The sequence below is a fragment of the Homo sapiens genome, chromosome 1 (genome assembly GCF_000001405.40).
Source record: "Homo sapiens chromosome 1, GRCh38.p14 Primary Assembly".
In the NCBI taxonomy this organism is placed as follows: Eukaryota; Metazoa; Chordata; class Mammalia; order Primates; family Hominidae; genus Homo; species Homo sapiens.
Genome location: NC_000001.11, coordinates 167,685,229 through 167,703,770, shown reverse-complemented (window position 1 = coordinate 167,703,770; position 18,542 = coordinate 167,685,229). Strand labels below are relative to the sequence as shown.

The following is an 18,542-nucleotide window of genomic DNA, read 5'->3' as shown; positions in this document are numbered from 1 at the left end:
GTGGAGGGTGCAGGCTGGCTGGAGCCCCGGCCCCACTATTGGGGAGCATGGAGACAGTGAAGGTTAGGCATGTGGCAAAGCCCAGCCCATGGAGGAGCATGAACTCCATTTTCCAGTGGGCAGTATCAAAGGGTTTGGGATAGGAGAGCAGACAACCTATGGTATTTATAGGAAGAGGCATTTGTCACTGATGTGTAGGGTGAGTCTGGAAACCAGGAATTCTGTTAGGAATGAGTTGTGATTGTAGAGATAGAAAAGAAAGGCTAGCACTGGTATCATCATAGAGATGGGGTTGTGCCATGTTGCCCAGGCTGGTCTCCAGCTCCTGGGCTCCAGCGATCCTCATGCCTCGGCCTCCTAAAATACTGGGATCACAGGTGTGAGGCACTGTGCCTGGTCACAATTCCATTATTGATTGAGCTCCCACAAAGCGCTGGTCATGCTCGGGGCTGAGGAGGGTCAAGGAGGAGCGGTGGGTGGGAAAGGGGAAAAGGAGGAGAGACAGAGGGATCTCTGGCAAGGACAGTTAATGTGTCTGAGGGATGATTGAGGTGGGAATGCAGGGAGTGTGTCCCCAAAAGAACTGAGAAGAAATAGGGCCAAGAACTGAGTCTGTTGACCTGCCAGTTAACCAGGAGGGAGAAGAAAGAAAGAACAATGTTAACACTACAAAGTTACAAAGGTAGGGGATTCTCAAGAGAAGGATGTATTTCATCAGCTCAGGGAGAAAAGAATTTCAAATCAAATGTTGAGAAACCAAGGGGAATGACTTGGAAAGCAATTGAATCAGGCAATTAGGAAGTCGGCACTTATTGTTAATACAGCAAAGTCTCAGATTTGATATCCAAATATTTCGAATGTCTTTGTTTGGGTAAGTTAGTCTCTGGCATAGCTGAGTGCCCTACACAATACTGGATACATAATGAGTGTTTGAGAAACACTTGATAAATTTTTATTTATGTATTTATGTATTTATGTATTTATTTTATTTATTTTTAGACGGAGTCTCTGTCACCCAGGCCAGAGTGAAGTGGCTCGATCTCAGGTCACTGCAACCTCCACCTCCTGGGTTCAAGCGATTCTCCTGCCTCAGCCTCCTGCATAGCTGGGATTACAGGCACACGCCACCACCCCTGGCTAATTTTTGTATTTTTAGTAGAGACAGGGTTTCACCATGTTGGCCAGGCTGATCTTGAACTCCTGACCTCAAGTGATCTGCCCGCCTCAGCCTCCCAAAGTGCTGTGATTACAGGTGTGAGCCACCACGCCCAGATAACACTTGCTAAATTTATTTTAAGTATTAGAGTTGTATCTGATTCTGTGCCCTCTTTTCAGGGCGACTTTTCCTTATAAACAGAATCCTAAGTGCAGTGACTTGATACGTCCAGCTTGCCTATGATTGAAATCCCCAGGATGACTCCTTCTTTCAGTACGATATGTTAAAACACTTGTGAGGGGCAACCTAACAGTAAGGTGACCCTTTATAGTGCTTTCACACGTCTGATGCCTTTGGCGCACTTATGGAACTTTCCCCTGTTTTCTCTCGAAGAACAAATTGCTCCAGCCTTTGTGCTTCACATAGCACCCTTCTAGGGCAGAATCCCATTTATTCTACTGCCTTGTCGTTATTTGTTTATGCCTCTGTCTTCTTCACTTTTGACTCCCAGTATCTCACATAGTGGTAGGGATAACGGGTGCTTGTTAAATGCTGATTGCATGAATGCAACCATAATTAGTTTGTCTGATCAATCTATTTCTACCGACAGAGGAACAAGATGGGAATTAGGTTAGGGGGTTAGAAAACTGCTTAGAGGTGTGTGCTGCCTCTGGGGGATCCAGGAAAGACCTGGGACAGACATGGGTGCCTGAGGAAGCCCATAACTCAAGGGGTCAACCTTGTAATTGTTCTTACTGATGGTTCCTTTTGCACTAGTGACTCAGGCATTTTGATTCTGACCTTGACCTGGTTTAAGAGGAACAGGGAGGACTGGAGACAGTGCCCTCTTCCAGATTAAACAAATTATGCACACGTGCACAGGTACTTTGTAAGCAGTTTATTCTGATGATTGGGCAGGTGCCTAATATGTCAACATTGACTGAGCTCTGTGACCATGGACAACTCCTGTCCTCTCTTGGAGCCTTGGTTTCTTTCTCTCTCTAAACTAGGCTGGGCATAGTGGCTCCCTCCTGTAATGCCAGCACTTTGGGAGGCTGAGGTGGGCAGATCACTTGAGGTCAGGAGTGTAAGACCAGCCTGGCCAATATGGTGAAACCTTGTCTCTACTAAAAATACAAAAAATAGCCTGGCATGGTGGTGCGGGCTTGTAATCCCAGCTACTTGGGAGGCTGAGGCAGGAGAATTACTTGAACCTGGGAGGCAGAGTTTGCAGTGAGCTGAGATTGTGCCACTGCACTCCAGCCTGGGTGACAGAGCAACACTCCATCTAAAAAAAAGAAAGAAAGAAAGAAAGAAAGAAAGAAAGAAAGAAAGAAAGAAAGAAAGAAAGAAAGAAAGAAACTAGGCAATTGGGTTAAGTGGCGTCAAAGTTTGGCATCTCAGAGATGACCGAGAGGAAAAGCATTCCTCTCATTCCATTCAGAGATGGAAGTGGAGCTACTCTTTCTCCATCTGAGCTGCCTATTTGGGAGGAGAGTGCTCTTGAGGTTGCTGGGCATTCTCTTCCCCTGCCCAAGGCTCTGTTGGGAATACGGAAGTGGCAAGGCTTGAGAGATTACCAGTGAGCCTGCCCCAGAGCTCCTGGAGTTCCCGCAGGAAGACTTCTTCTACCTGAGACCTCCCTGAAGCAGCCCTCTTCCCTACTAGCTTTTCAACCAAAGTGACTTTTCAACCCTTCAGGATTGGAAGATGCTGTCAGTGAGATGGGGAGGTCTCTTGGCAAGGCAGGTGTCTCCTAACCTGAAAATAAGATGTAGCAACCACTGGCAGGTGACTACTTGGACCCAGTGACTTCATCCTCAAAAAGGACTAACAGATTGGGGCATGTATTTGCCTTCTCTAGACCTGGTGGAATCTCTCAGTTCCAGAAAATCCTAAATGTAAAGATTGCTTACTTAGAATGGAAAGTTTTTTTGTTGTTGTTGTGCTTTTTTTTTTTTTTTGAGACGGAATCTTGCTCTGTCACCTAGGCTGGAGTGCAGTGGCGCGATTTCCGCTCACTGCAAGCTCCGCCTCCCAGGTTCACGCCATTCTCCTGCCTCAGCCTCCTAAGTAGCTGGGACCACAGGCGCCCACAACCACGCCTGGCTAATTTTTTTTTGTATTTTTAGTAGAGACGGGGTTTCACTGTGTTAGCCAGGATGGTCTCGATCTCCTGACCTTGTGATCCACCCGCCTCAGCCTCCCAAAGTGCTGGGATTACAGGTGTGAGCCACCACGCCTGGCACTGGAATGGAAGATGTTAAAGAAATCTGGAGCACCTCTGCCTAACAACTTAACCCAGGGGTCTCAGTCATACTTTATGAGTCTTTGGGACTCACACATTTTTCTCCCTGATCTAGCGTGAGTGAGAATAACGTGAGGGCCCCAGGAGATCCCCTAAACACATCAGTTCCTCTTCTACCTGTACTTCTATCATTAGAGATTATTTCTTTTGGGTCAGACAATTTTCTGTCTTCTTTTAAAATCCATTCATTCACTCAACAAAGATTTTTTTAAAGAACCTACTATGTTCCAGGTTCTGTAGCAGGTGCTGGAGATGCAGTGAGGAAAAGGAGTAGAGAAATACAATTAAAAAATACACAGGAGAATTTCAAATAGTGATGTGTTCTATGATAAAAGTAGAATCGTGGGAGAAAATAACTGATGGGATGGAGGGAGGTCCACTTAGACTGAGTGGCACAGACAGGCCTCAGTGAGAAGGGACCATCTGAGCTGAGCTCTGAGCCGTGGGTAAGAAGCGGCCCTGTAAGGATCAGAAGGAATGTCCCACACAGAGGGGACAGCAAGGATAGAGCTCTGAAGTGGGAATGAGCTTGCTGTATTGGAAGAACAAAAAGACCTCAGCATGGCTGGATCACAGTGAGGGGGAGAGTCAGGGAGAGGTGGGTACATCCAATCCAAACCCATAGTACCTGTGAATTTGACCTTATTTGGAAAAAGGTTCTTTGCAGATGTAACTAAGAATCTCAAGACAAGATCATTCTGGATTTAGGGTGGACTCTACATCTAATGACTGACATCTTTATAAGGGGGAGGAGGGGGACTATGAGACACACAGTAACAGTGAAAGGCCGTGTGATGGAGATGGAGGCAGAGACTGGAGTGGTGCATCTAGATGCCAAGAGATGCCATGAATTGCAGCAGCCACCAGGAGCCAGAGGAGGCAAGGGAGAATTCCAAGGGTTGCAGGCAGCTGCCAGAACTTAAGGGAGAGGAACAGATTCTCCCCCAGAACTGCTAGAGGAGACCAACCCAGCCAACAACTTAATTTTGAAGGTCTGAACTGTAGAGCTGTAAGAAAGTATATTTCTATTGTTTTGAGCCACCAAGTTTGTGGTAATTTTTTATGGCGACCCTGATACAAGAGGCGAATAATTTTAGCAAAGAGCAGTTGATCTAAAAAACAAACCAAACCTGCTGGTTGCTGTCCAGAGAATGGATTATATACGCAGGGGGAAAAAAAAGTGGAAGCAGGAAGCCAGAACTACTGTAAGGCCGGGCGCGGTGGCTCACGCCTGTAATCCCAGCACTTTGGGAGGCCGAGGCAGGTGGATCATGAGGTCAGGAGATCGAGATCATCCTGGCTAACACGGTGAAACCCGTCTCCACTAAAAATACAAAAAATTAGCCGGGCGTGGTGGCGGGCGCCTGTGGTCCCAGCTACTCGGGAGGCTGAGGCAGGAGAATGGCGTGAACTCGGGAGGCGGAGCTTGCAGTGAGCCGAGATCCCGCCACTGCACTCCAGCCTGGGCGACACAGCGAGACTCCTTCTCAAAACAAAAACAAAAACAAAAACAAAAAACAAACAAACAAACAAACAAAGAGGCTACTGTAGCAGGAAGCTGATAGTGGTGTGAGTAAATGAACGCATGAATGAATGAATGCACTAACAAAAGCGACGGGTGAAACAATTGTGGGTGACTGACTTGATGAGATTGTTAGGGACTCTGCAGAGCTGGTTCTGCTCTTAAAGCATAGATAGGTGAGCTCAAGATGGGCTTCCTGGGAGCTGGTGGGGAGCAGACAGGTGTAGAGGAAAGGGCCAGTAAATGCAGGCCCAGGCAGGAGGGCAGGGACTGAGTCACCCCGTCCTCCTCATGTGCAGCAGATGCCCAATCCCTGAGAGAGAGTGAACGTCCCAACATCACATGCAGCTTCTTTCTCTGAGGGCCAACTCAAATACTACCTTGGCCCTGAAGCATCCCCAGCTTTTTGTCCCATCCACACACAAATTGTTTCTGCTACACTTGCACTTTGGGCTTCCCTGGGAATGCCCCCTGTCCACTGCCCTATTCCACCTTGTTCATGCACATGAAAGAGTTGCTGGTCTCATGTGCTAAACTGAGATGATTTTTAGAAAGGAGCTCCCCTTTCTTTTTCATCTCTGGATCCCCTGCAGCAGCATGCCCAGGCTCCTGCACTCAGCAGGCTTCCATAGATGCTTGCAGGCCTCAGTTACTGAGCCGTGCCGAGGCTCGGTCACTCACACACACCCAGAAGCTTGCCAGAACTCCAAGTCAGCGAGAAGTTGGCAAGAGCAGAAGACACACTTCCTCTTTGTGTCCTTTTGTCCCCTCAGCCTCAGCGACAGCCTTTCTCCAACAAGTTGGCACGAGGCAGGAGCCTGGCACCTTTGTTTCTGCATGTCGAGCTGATTTATGAAGGGACTGTACGGAACAGGACATGTGACAGAGGCACACACTGGCCCTGGCACTGCCTTCTGCATGTGAACGAGCCAGGCCACCTACCTCCGGCTTGGGGACTGCTGGCTCGCTCTGGACCTCACTGCTGGTCTCCAGCTGGGCAGGGCCGGTCTGGGGGCTGCAGCCTGGCTCGAGCACTGCCCCCTCCTGTTGTTTTTCCTTGCCTTTTTCCTGCTTGGGGACATCTCCGCCCTTCACTCCTCCAGGGGGACTGTGGGGGGTCTCCTTCACTGCAGCTCCCTCCTCCAGCTTCTTTGTTTCTTGGCTGTCATGTTCAGGTCCCACCTCTTCATTTTGCACCCTCTCCCCCTTCACCTCTGTAGCCTTTTCCATCTCTGCTTCCTCTCCAGCTGGCTTTTCCTCCCTGGGGCTCCCACACCTATTTTCTGCCTCTGGGCCAGAGGTCTGGGGCGATTCCGGGACCTCCTCTTGGGCCGGGTGCTGGCCGTCCACCTCCTCTGAACTCCGCCTGGCCTTTTCACCGTTCTTGGCTTCCTCTGTGGCCCTGTCCTCCTCCTGCTTCTCTGTCCTGCTGGGTGACCTCCTCAGAGGAGGCTTTTCAGCAGGTCCCAGGGTTCTCACTCCCTCTCCCGCTGCTCCCTCACTGGACAAAGGGGATCCTGGGGCCTTGCTCTTGGATGGCAACACTTCATCCCCATCCTCTTCCTTAGCACCGTTCTGCTGAGATGACTCCACCGCCCTGAAATCTCCAAGTTCTCCACAGTCTGACTGTGACCTTCGGAATCGCCTGGAGGGAGGGCGCCTTTTTATTGAGCCCCTCGTCCGCACCTAGAAGAAAGTGTTAAGGAAAGTTATCCAAAAACTCATAAAAAAAGGCCAAGAGGAGGACTGTATGCACTTTCAATGTCAGTCTGGTGCACTGCTTCACAAGTCCACGCAAGGACCGTTTAATTTTCCAGGAGAACGAATCATTGTTTGCTATTTATTATAGATTAGAGCCATGTGGGATTGTGAAATCACATGGTGACCTGCAGACTTTTATTTTGTGAAGATGCAAATGCTTTCCATTCAGTAAAAAACAAAAACAAAAACTCATGATTTTATTGCACTGTAAAACATTAATCAGTTCGGTGTCTAATTTAGTAATTTTATTCTGACACTTAAAAAAAAATTCTTGCCGGGCATGGTGGCTCACACATGTAATCCAGCACTTTGGGAGGCTGAGGCAGGAGGATCGCTTGAGCTCAGGAGTTCAAGATCAGCCTGGGCAACGTAGCGAGACTCCATCTCTACTGAAAGTAAGAAAAATTAGCTGGGGGTGCTGGTGCATGCCTGTGGTCCCAGCTACTTGGGAGGCTGAGATGGGAATATAGCTTGAGCCTGGGAGATTGAGGCTGCAGTGAGCTGTCATCACACCATGGCACTTCAGCCTGGGCAGCACAGAAAGACCCTGCATTAAAAAAAAAAAAAAGAAATTGTCTAATTATCTATAAATAACCAGTTCTTCAAATGCTGTTTGACTAAGTTTTACCATCTTACAAGTTTCCTCATAAATTGACATATTGAATAAAATCTCTATTTTGCATAAGAGTCAGACTTTTATCTTGTGAAGATGCAAAATGCTTCCTATCCAGTAAAAAAGATAACTTATGATTTTATTGCACTGTAAAATTTTGAAAAATTTGAAAATTGTACTTTTGAAAATTATACTTTGACAAAGATGAATCGCACCGAGAAGAGGGTTAGAGACCTGCTGACGGCCAGGCCCTGGTGCAGGGACCTCAGGGGTGCTGAGCTGGAGACCTGGTGACCAGCTTCCTCTCTTGCCTAACTCTGTCCTTCCTGCCCCCGTGAAGTTGGCGGATACTGGGAAACCTGAGCAGCCAGATTCCTTTGCTTCTAGAACTCAGGTCCACCACTGTCAGAAGCTGTTTCTCAGGAGCACCAGCAGAGCTGCCTGAAGGTGATCTCTCTGGGAAGCATGTGATTCTCAGAATCAGGCCTCTTCTCAGCTTATCAGACTTAGTCAAAGGTGCAATGGAAATGTTCACATCAGATACCCTACCTACTAGAGTGATGCATCCTTTAAAAATCAGTATATAAGTGGGCTGGGTGTGGTGGTGCCCGCCTGTAATCCTCGCACTTTGGGAGGCATAGGCCAGCAGATCACTTGAGCCCAGAAGCTGCAGGAGCCTGGTTGAAGACATGGCAAAACCCTGTCTCTACAAAAAATACAAAACAAGGTGTGGTGGTGCATGCCTGTAGTCCTAGCTACTAGGAGGCTTGCCTGAGCCCAGGAGGTGGGGGTTGCGATGAGCCAATATCGCACCACTGCACTCCAGCCTGGGTGACAGAGGAAGACCTTGCCTCAAAAAAAAAAAAAAAAAATTAGTGTGTAAAATAAATTTTTGTAAATGTTATTTTCCCACTGATTTACATTTTGGTATTTGTCAATCCTAGTTCCCCATCTAAGAAGTATGGAATGAATACTTGGTTTATCAGGGCCTCCCAAGCCCTTTCTTGAGACCATGATTGGGCCAGCTCTGGAAGGTATCAAGGCCCCAGCCCTCATGACCAGCAGGGTTCCAAAATAACTTCCTCTTGCTGCTGTCAGAAGGCTGAAGCCTCCAGGCATTATGACCAGGCAGCAGCTCCTCCCTCCCTGCCTCACCCTGTGAGAAGATGCGGCTCTCTCTGAAGGTTCCTCTCTGCCTTCAGGGGTCTCCATCACCCTGGCTGGGGGACTTCCACTCTGGCCCTAGCCGGCAGGCTCAAGCCTGCCTGAACCCCTCCTTACCACTAGTTTATTTCCTTGAGTCCTCCCTGTTTTTACACATTTGATTTTTTTTTTGCTAGCTGGACTTCCTAGAATGGCCTAGAAGATCTCATTTCTCCATCATTAATTTTAAGCCACACCCATTTAGCATTCTCTGGCACCAGACCCCAAGAAGTCTTGGCCCCTGCTTGGCCCTGGCACACATTTGTTGGCTACCTGCTTGGCCCCTATCTCTGATCCTTACCTCCTCCCAGCAGGGCGAGGGATGTGATGAAAGCTCACACAGAGGATCAGGGTTGCATCTGTAGAAATGCACCCTGCCATGTCATTTTTGCAAAGGGAACAGTTTGGATGTTCTTTAACTGGGGCAAGCTGCAGGAAGAATGATTTGAGTCCACACTGGGACACTTAGGGCTATTCACACCAGGCCAGACAGGACGTTTTGGAGTTCTAGGGATGCTGCCCAGCATTCTGTGCAAATCACTGATCAGGCCTTTAGCTTTTGCGTTCAGCTTTTGACATTAATGAACTATGCAGCTGGGATCAATCCTGAATTTCCATACCTTTCTCCACAAAGGAGAGAGCACGCCATCCCCCAGGCTTGTCTTGGGGTTGAATGGCACAGTTACAGCAAGGGGAGATGAGCCAGTCAGTCGAGGAAAAAGGTGATCCTAGTTCAGGGATCATTTGCAAAGGAGAGGAGAAATTTCACTTGGGTTAACACGCAGCTCTGACAGTAACTCCGAATGTTTCCTCCTTTCTCCAGGACAACAGGGTAGAGAAAATTCAGGGGTGCCAGTGCCCACATTTCCACAGACACACCGCCATAATCTGGAGCTAGAATTTACCTTGTTGTAACAGGGCAGATGACTGCCTTCAGGGGGCTGGTCGAAGCTGACAGGCACCTCCTCTGCCTCGCTGGGCCTAGATCGCACACCAGGGCTGCTGGGGGTAGAAGGTGGGCTGTGAAATGGCGACACCATAGCCTTGAGTCCAGGACTCTTGGGTGAGGCCCCAGGCAGTAGAGCAGCTGGGTCAAAGGTTAAATTGGCCTGTCAAGAAAAGATGAACAATTTCAAATAGGACTAGGGAGAAGATCAGAGCCTCTACTTTAGCTTGTTGGTTATCTGGCCTCAGGCCTGGTTGAGACTAGGTAACACCAGGCTTTTCATGCTACTTCCCAACCCATTATCCACTGTCCCATCATGGCCTGCTCTTGGAAGCATTGCCTACTCTATCCTCCTCTGCTACCTGGCTTGCCACAGGCTGCATTCCAAAATGCTCAGCCAGCACTGACGAGGATCCAACAAAAATTTCCCAGAACAAGCTCAACTTATCAACAAAGTGGCGAAGCAGCAACTGCCAGGAGCACCTGTGGCACCAGGATCTCACAGGAAGTCAGGCTCTGTGATCCCCTTTCTCATCAGAGTCAATAGTACTCACTCCCACTAGATGCCTACTATTGCAGGGCACATGTAGCTGTGTCCTCCACAGCAACCCCACACGTTCAGCTGTGTTCTCATTGCACAATCAAGAAAGTAGCTAAGGGATCTGCCCTGAGATTCACACCGGGTCTGATTCTCCCTCAGCCTCCAGGTATCAGGTTCCCTCTTAATAGACGGCAGAGTGGTGGACACAGTAGGCCACTGAGCTCCAGGACGAAGGCAGTGGGACACACCATAGTATGAGCCACCACTTGGGGTATCAAGGTACAGGTGTGACCCGATCAAAATGAAAGGCAGCCAAATGGGAGAGTCACCCAAAGGTAACGAAAGCCTCAGGGAGTCTTGAGTTTGGTTGGGGAGGAGGCAGGTGGTCCCAGATGCCCGAAGGCGTCCATGGGGAGAACGTGCGTGAGAGTCCGATCCTCTTTAAGGCCATCTAGGGTGCTTCTCCTGCCCTCTGCATTCCCAAATCACCACAGAGCTGCGTCCTGCAGACCCTGTGGCAGTGCCGAACCAGGAGACAGAGCCTCTTTGAGACTTCACAGAGAAGGGATGGAGTGTGAGGGGCAGACGGTGCAATGGGAAGTACATGGGTTTTCCATACCGACAGATCTGACTTTAAATACTGGATCTTTCACTTAATAGCAGTGTGACCTTCAGGCCTTCAGCAAGTCCAACAGCCTTTCCGAATCTCAGATTCTTTGTCTGTCCAAACCTTTTGGCCTGACTTCCAAAGTCTTTTCTATCTGGTCCCTGTGTACTCTCTCCTGCCCCATACTCACACCCTCTCCCTCCCAGCTCCCCTTGGCCACCTTCCCACCTCCTACCAGCCAGACTCTGCTGTCCTGGAGAACTCCTATGTATACTTTAGGACTTGCAGACTTGAAAGCATTGCACACGTTTAGAAGGGTGTTAGTGTTTTCATTGTGATCTTAATAAAGAAGGTATCATACAGACAAGACTGAGTCATGGTAAGAGTTCAGTATATAAAATACGAAAGTTAAATAGCATACTAGCCCAAACCATGTCAAAAAGCAGCATATGAAGCTGGGTGCAGTGGTGTGTGCCTGTAATCCCTGCTACACAGGAGGCTGAGGTGGGAGGATTGCTTGAGCCCAGGAGTTTGAGACTTTGAGTCCATCCAGGGCAACAAAGCAAGACCTTGTCTAAAAAAAATAAAAATAAAAAAAAAAGCGGCATATGGGGAGTACCCAGGGGAGGATTTGGAGCATAGTTGCCGTGCAGGTTGATATGCTGGCATGGCTGAGAGGGCTTCATGGCAGAGGGGGTTCACTGGACCTTAAAGGAAATGCTCTTCTCTAAATTTCAAGCAGAGAAATTCCCTCTGTAAGACTGCTTGCAAATAAAATGGATGTTGATAGCAGAAAAGTTGAATTGTGAATTTTGGGCTATCCTAAAAAAGAAAATCCCTAGTTCATAATTCATTCAGTAGAATAGTTAGAAGAAAATCTAGCTGGCGACGCATTTCTTAGCTGTTTCTCCCACATATTCCCAACGAAGTAAGTTTCCTGTGGGATTTGGCTAAGTTGTCATTCTATTGCTGACAATCTTAATGAGATTGAACAACTAGACATCCAAACCACATTCTCAAGTTGTTGTGTTTCCCCAAAAGACTCATTAATGACTGGAAAAAGGAATGGGTCCAAAACTACAGGGTACAGAACATTTGGTAACTGGTTTCTGGCACTTGAATGAGGGCTAGGGTGGGCTACAGGGAGGCAGAGGTAGGAGTCTGGGGCTACATCCCTCAGCTGGATGCTAGGAGGGGTGCTGGAGTTCTGGGATCCCTTCTGAGAGACCCCTGTTACTTATTTAGGAGCCCTGCAGCCTCCTGGAGTGACAGGTAGCACCACCCTATTCCTGCAGCCGGGTGGAATCAGGGCTTCTCAGTTTGAATTAAATTTCAGGTAGACACTGCAGAGCCCTCCCCACCCTCCACAGGGTAGGCTCATGGCCAGAAACCAGAGATGCTTGCCTTAACCCCCAGTCAGGCTGGGATCCAAATCCCTAGGCTCTCCCATGGCTGGGAAGTACAGAGGCTGTGGCTATTCGTCTTGACACCTCTGATGCCTTCAGAATGAAGTTGGTGAGCCGGTGCTCTCAGTTGGGCCTGGATGGGAGGTATGGTGCACAAGCACCTTGTTCCTTCTCCTGGGTGGCTGGACAGAGGGTGGGGTGAGAACAGGAACCTCTCCTACAGCCCCCACCTGGACATAACATGCCTGCCTCTCCTCCGCACTTTAGCTTCTGCCATTCCCCCACGGGGAACATCTTCCTCCCACCTTTTCAGCCACGCATTCCTTAAGGACGGGCTCAGGACATAGGTGTTTCATAAAACATTCATTAATTACTCTGGCCCACTCTACTCTCTTCTTGCTCTGAAATTCTAGAATGGTGGGTCTCACCTGGGATCTGGGGTGGGAGACAATTTTGCCTCCAGGGGACATTGACAATGTCTAGAGACATTTTTCATTGTCACAACTTGTTGGAGAGTGCTACTGGCATCAATGGGTGGGAAAGGGATGCTGCTGAACATCTTGCCGTGCACGAGACAGCCCCTGCAACAACACTATCCAGCTCGAGTAATGCCAAGGCTGAGAAACCCTGGTCTTGAGCAGCAGGAGCCGGGCAGTGACCCACAGTGGAGATCTCTGGCATCAGCTCCTTTTATTATATCACCTGTGAAAGCTCTGTCTCCACAAGACTGTGAGTTCAGGACCAGTGTCTTCTGCTTAATTACAGTCCCAGGGAGCCAGCCAGCCCTGGGCACGGGAGGTGAGGGCTCTGGGCACACAGGGTTACTGGTGGAGAGGTTGGACAGGATACTTCCCAAATAACAAATTTGTCCAGACTGGTGCAGTGTGCAGCAACTGAACACCAGCCCTATGCAGGGCTGAAATGGTTTGTGGCTGCATTCAGGCCTTGGGAGAGAGGCGTTGGCTATTTCAAAGTGTTTATGGCAACTATGGTGTCCTTTCCCGTAAGACTCTTTTTTTTTCTTTTCGTTTTTGAAGACAGGAGCTTGCTCTGTTACTCAGGCTGGAGTGTAGTGAAGTGACCTCAGCTCAATACAGTCTCAACCTCCTGGGCCCAAGCGATCCTCTCACCTCGGTCTTCAGAGTAGCTGGGACTACAGGTGCACATCACCATGCCTGGCTAATTTTAAAATTTTTTGTAGAGATAGTGTCTCACTATGTTGCCCAGTCTGGTCTTGAACTCCTGGGCTCACGTGATCCTCCAGCCTCAGCCTCCCAAAGTGCTGGGATTATAGGGGTGAGCCCAGCCCCATACAGACTCTTGAGGTATCCCGTTACCCATCAACCCCCACCACTAAATGTCAAATACATGAGCTTGTGCTTGATGTGGTCCTTATGTTAGTTCTTTTCCCTCAGGCAGGGCTGTGAGATCCTTATCGTTTACTGCAATTTGATCACTGGCTGATTATTGGGGCCAATTATGCAGGTGACACATAGGCTACCCCTATGAGCCTCAAAGTCATGCAAATTTTGGATAAGAAGTGGAGTTAGATAAAAGGTAGCAATAGACAATGAATTCTGCACTTACCTGAAGCTTCTCAATCAGAGGCGAGCTCTTGACCTTGAATTTAGGAGGGTGGCTCGCATTGGGTGGTGATTTCTATGGAGCAAATCAACCAAAACAACCAGATAAGTAAGGTGAGGAAAGTGGGGTTCTGGTTGGAACCCAAAAGCCACAGGCAGAAGGAGAAGAGAAGTTGGTGTTGCCACTTTCTCATTAGTTCAGTAGCCCACATACTTCATTAGGGCCTGGGCGACGTGAACTTTCCCCCTCCCTCCCTCATCCCACCACAGCAAGATCTTCAAATCAGAATTAGAGAAGTCAGCGCCGACATCCTTAACACAGAAGGTCTCTCCCAGGAAGAGTGACTTCATTGTTGTTATGAAGGAAAACTATATCTGAGCAAGATCTTCACCTCATGACCTTCAACACTGTGAATCAACAATTTGGGGGATTTCAAAGACAAAGGGCAAAAATTACCATCCTGTTTGTCACACACACAACAAGAAACCAGACCAGGATGACAGAGGTATGACTGGAATTCCTCCCTGGACCCAGTGATATTTTGGAAAATCCCATCGATGGCATGATTTATAAATTATGATTTTCCAAAATGTTGAATATTTGAATATTCTTTTTCTTTTCTTTTCTTTTTTTTTTTTTTTTTGAGACAGAGTCCTGCTTGTTCCTCAATCTGGAGTGCAATGGCGCAATCTCGGCTCACTGCAACCTTCGCCTCCTGGGTTCAAGCAATTCTCCTGTCTCTGCCTCCCAAGTAGCTGGAATTACAGGCATGCACCACCATGCCTGGCTAGTTTTTGTATTTTTAGTAGAGACAGGGTTTCACCATGTTGGCCAGGTTGGTCTCGAACTCCTGACCTCAGGTGATCCACCCACCTCCCAAAGTGCTGGGATTACAGGCGTGAGCCACCACGCCCAGCCTGAATATTCTTTTTAACCAAGTAAACATTTACTGAGTATTTACTACGTCCCAGACATTGTGTGGGTCATACAAAGATGAGCATGATTCAGTCTCGGTGGCAGGAGCAGTCCGTGGCTGATGCATGTGTTACATAATCATACGTACTCTCTGTTAGTTGTAGATATTTTTGTGATGAATGAATGCCAGGAATCTTGTCTGCCTTCGGGATCCATATCATGTAAAAATATTAACTCTGTGTTTTGCGTAAAATCCCCACAAACATGTGAGAATGGTGACAGTGATAGGATGATGATGATGAAGAAAAGGAAGAGGATGACTTCCATGTGGTTGGACAGAGGCCAAGGCAGAGGAGGGATCTCCCCATAGTGTGGAGACCAATGTGTATGACCTGCTCCTTGACCCCATGTACTAATTTTCCTGAACAATAAGAAGAACTACACTGATCTCTTAGGAAGATTCTGAGATATTTATAATGTGAGATGATTGTGTTTTAGTGATGGAAGGAGGGAGGCTCACCCAACTGAACTCCTCGTGATCTTTTTACAGCCCAACACCAAGGGAGAGCATGGGCTGGACTTACAGGATCCCCACTCCTTCTAATTCTAGTTTTGGCAGGAGCCAGACGAAGCCCTTGGCCTCAGCCTCCTCTACCAAGATGCAGCTGGGCGGGAATAAATGATTCTAAGGACTCCTGCTGCCTCTGCCTCCATGTGTCTTCACTGTCGGGTATGTTCCTATAGCAGTCTTTCAAGGAGCTTTTTATCTAGGATGAGTATAAAGAGCTTCCAGCCCCAATGGAAGTGCCCTTGGTTTCTGTGCTTTACAGGGAAATTTCACACGGGCTGGGGTTTTCAGAGAAACTTTTAGAAACTGCAGCAACAATTTTGCTGATAAAGCTCACTTCATGTAATATTATTAGTTCTTCTCTTCCCCAGCTGACCACTGATTTCTGAAGTCTGTGGAAATTCAGTGGACCCTGCCCCTTAAACACAGTATAGTACTGGGGACCCAGCTGATGCTCCATAAAACCCTATTGATTTGAATTGCAAAGCAGAAAGAATCCAAAATAGCCTCTAGTGCAGTTCCTGGAAATGACAGCAGGTGGCATCATTTCCCTTACGGTTTAACAAGGGGCTTCAGGCAAGCGGCTGAGACTAACAATCCGGTGGAGAAAAACCAGCCTTCCATCCCTGTATATGTATATATATAGCTGTATTTACATGACATTATTACCACGTCTAGAAACTACGGACTAATTTCCAGATGGGAATGCTTTTCAGCCTTTTCTGAGTATAGGAGGCAGGATCTGTGGCTGCATTAAACACCCAACTTCAGCTGGTTCTTCCAGAGAGGGGTAACTCTTGGTCACCCTGCCATCAGGAGGGGCCCTGCAGTCAGCAGGTGCTGTCAGGGGGCTGACCCCACTGTCTCAGACCTGAGCAAGCATAGCGGGGCAGGGATGAAATGACCCTTCCTGGCACTGTGCATTGGGAACCGAGGGGTAGCCTGACCGGGTCCCTCCCTGCAGGCCCCCAAGGTTTCCAGCATTAGAGCCTCTGCAGGCTGAGCTACAGGAGTATGGAAGGAGAAATGTGGACAGCAGCCTCCAATTAGCCCTGCCAGACAAAGCAGGCTGCTCATTTTATTTCTATGTGAATTTCTTTTCTTTTTTTTTTTTTTTTGAGACGGAGTCTTGCTGTGTCACCCAGGCTGGAGTGCGGTGGCGCGATCTAGGCTCACTGCAAGCTCCGCCTCCGGGGTTCACGCCATTCTCCTGCCTAAGCCTCTCGAGTAGCTGGGACTACAGGCGCCTGCCACCACGCCTGCTAATTTTTTGTATTTTTAGTAGAGACGGGGTTTCACCGTGTTAGCCAGGATGGTCTCAATCTCCTGACCTCGTGATCCGCCCACCTCGGCCTCTCAAAGTGCTGGGATTACAGGCGTGAGCCACTACGCCCTGCTTCTATGTGAATTTCAAGGCCACGAAAAGTCATTGATCCCTGGAGGTAGTGTCCTTTCAATGTGCGAGCAGCCTGTCACTCCAGGCAGGATTTTCTAAAATCCGCCCTTGGACTTAACCAGCCCTTGGCCATTATAAGCCATTTAACTTCTGGGTGATGTGCCCCATGGGGTGAAACCTGTGAATGCATTTCCACAGAGCTGCCAGGATGGAGCTGTTTAACCCAATCACTAGCCTAACTCCCTCTGCTTTTACTCTAGGGGATAAAACTTCCCTAGCCAGCCTCCCTGATCTATCTGGTTAGTGATTTTGTCCTCAATTTCACAAATAAGAAAAATGATTCGGTATGGTGTGGTGACTTCTCCTGGGCCAAGCCCAGGCTATCAGGGGGCAGTCTCACATTAAGCTCTGAGTGGCCATAACCTCAACCCATTGCATAGCAGTGGAGACACTGAGCCCAGAGGTTGAAGGTTACAAGGAGAAGTTGATTCTCTGGAAAGAGAGGTTGTTGGTATGTGTTTGGTCACAGCACTGGCTGATGACCCCATAAAGCCACAGAATCATATTGTTGGCACTTGAAGAGACCCAAGGAAAACCTCAGTGTTTTTAAACTGTGCTCCTTGGGGTTCTCATCCAAGAATAAGACCCTTGGTCAGTGGGGAGAGAGTATTCTGAGAGCATTTGGGGCTCCAGGCCTCCCCTCCCCCATCTCACTTGGCCTGGGGCAGCGATGAGTTTCTGCTTTATCTTGTGGGCTTCTGTTTATAAGCCTTAGGTTGACAAAAAGGCTTGAAAACCATTGATCTATTTCAGCTGTTTCACTTTATAGATGAGAAAATGTAGGCATTAAGATGCTTGCCCAAGTTCACATAGGGCACCTAATGGCTATTGTCAGGATGCTGGTCCCCAAAAAAGAAGGGGAGAATAAAGAGGTTGTTGAAGTGGAATTTGGGAATGACATTGTCTTTGGCTTGCTTGCTGTATTTTGGGGTTGGCCTCCCAGGTGAGATGACAGAACATACAAATCCATTTCTGGCACAGACTATGACCACAGTGAAGGTTCATGGGTTGCTGGCATAAGGTGTGGAGAAGGCACTCCTGCAGCTACAATTAGATAAATAAAGATAGGAGAATATGCAGGCTAAGAACCTATTACTGGCTATGATCTATGATACCAGAGCCTTTATTATGTTGGTAACGTTGGCTATTTATATCTGAGGGCAACGAGGCCTCCTGTGCGCTCTGGTTTTCTTCCAGTGATCTTGAACAATAGCCAGGCTTTACAAGGATACTGCAGAATCACGGGGTTTTCTCATGCTTCCGTCCTGCCCTATGTAAGTGTAGCCCCCTTTCCAGGTACCTTCTCCACACCTTATTCCAAGATCACCTAAGTCAGATCTGGGAATAAAACAGAACTTTCCTGGCTCCTGAATTGGGTCTGTTAATAATATATGACCCATTCTCTTTGCTAAAATTCTCAGGCTTGGAAAATAGTGTTCGTGTCCTTGACAAATCATAAAGGAGCCTCAGTAAAAGGGAGCAGGGAGGAGCCTAGTTTCCAAAGTAAACGATTCAGGAAACATTTAAGAGGAGATTCACTCTGAAATGGAGAAATTCCCTGCACAGAGTCTGAGCTTTAAAGTATGAGTTTGGTGCCCCCTCCTCCAAACTTTCCTCAAGAAGAGGAAAGAAAACCCATCACAGCATCCTCTGAGCCCCAACAGCAGCACTTACCTCCTCACCATTCTGGCCCAGGTCTACCTTGGGGGGGAACAGGGGGAGGGAACAGGGCGGTTTCCTTCGGGTTGGTTTACTGGCTGGTGTCTGGAGGGAGGGCGACAGACAGACACACAGAGAAAAAGAGAGCACTGATCAGGCAACAGGGAGGAAGAGCAAGGAAATGGAAACTGGTTTCAGGAAGGTTTAGGGATTTAGGAATGTTAGGATGTTAGGGAAGTGTAGGAATATTTAAGAATGGAGGAAGGGAACTGCGTGTCTTTGGGACAGCCTGCTTAC

The 18,542-nt window shown here is 48.2% G+C and overlaps 1 protein-coding gene across 3 annotated transcripts in view, besides 3 other annotated features; it reads right to left on the bottom strand.

Moving 5' to 3' along the window:
* Positions 1–18,542, bottom strand: part of RCSD1 (RCSD domain containing 1) — a 78,465-nt gene that overhangs the window by 4,926 nt on the left and 54,997 nt on the right. The window contains exons 3-6 of one of the 3 annotated variants that reach the window (NM_052862.4): positions 18,261–18,350; positions 13,651–13,722; positions 9,469–9,672; positions 5,929–6,672 (exon numbers count right to left, since the gene is read on the bottom strand). In NM_052862.4, coding sequence (NP_443094.3) covers positions 5,929–6,672; positions 9,469–9,672; positions 13,651–13,722; positions 18,261–18,350 — 1,110 coding nt within the window. The remainder of the gene's footprint in view (positions 1–5,928; positions 6,673–9,468; positions 9,673–13,650; positions 13,723–18,260; positions 18,351–18,542) is intronic. The other 2 variants (NM_001322923.2, NM_001322924.2) reach the window with 2 other exon arrangements.
* Positions 5,463–6,145: an enhancer, noted in NCBI's record as "H3K4me1 hESC enhancer chr1:167666863-167667545 (GRCh37/hg19 assembly coordinates)". NCBI's record gives its function as "activates a minimal SCP1, AML or CMV promoter by ChIP-STARR-seq in naive H9 embryonic stem cells {active_cell/tissue: H9 hESC(naive)}" and the evidence as "EXISTENCE:reporter gene assay evidence [ECO:0000049][PMID:30033119]".
* Positions 13,322–14,521: an enhancer, noted in NCBI's record as "CDK7 strongly-dependent group 2 enhancer chr1:167658487-167659686 (GRCh37/hg19 assembly coordinates)". NCBI's record gives its function as "activates an origin of replication core promoter dependent on BRD2, BRD4, P300/CBP, MED14 and CDK7 cofactors, with strong dependence on CDK7, by STARR-seq in HCT116 cells {active_cell/tissue: HCT116}" and the evidence as "EXISTENCE:reporter gene assay evidence [ECO:0000049][PMID:35650434]".
* Positions 15,749–15,928: an enhancer, noted in NCBI's record as "active region_2050". NCBI's record gives its function as "activates an Ori minimal core promoter by ATAC-STARR-seq in GM12878 lymphoblastoid cells {active_cell/tissue: GM12878}" and the evidence as "EXISTENCE:reporter gene assay evidence [ECO:0000049][PMID:35858748]".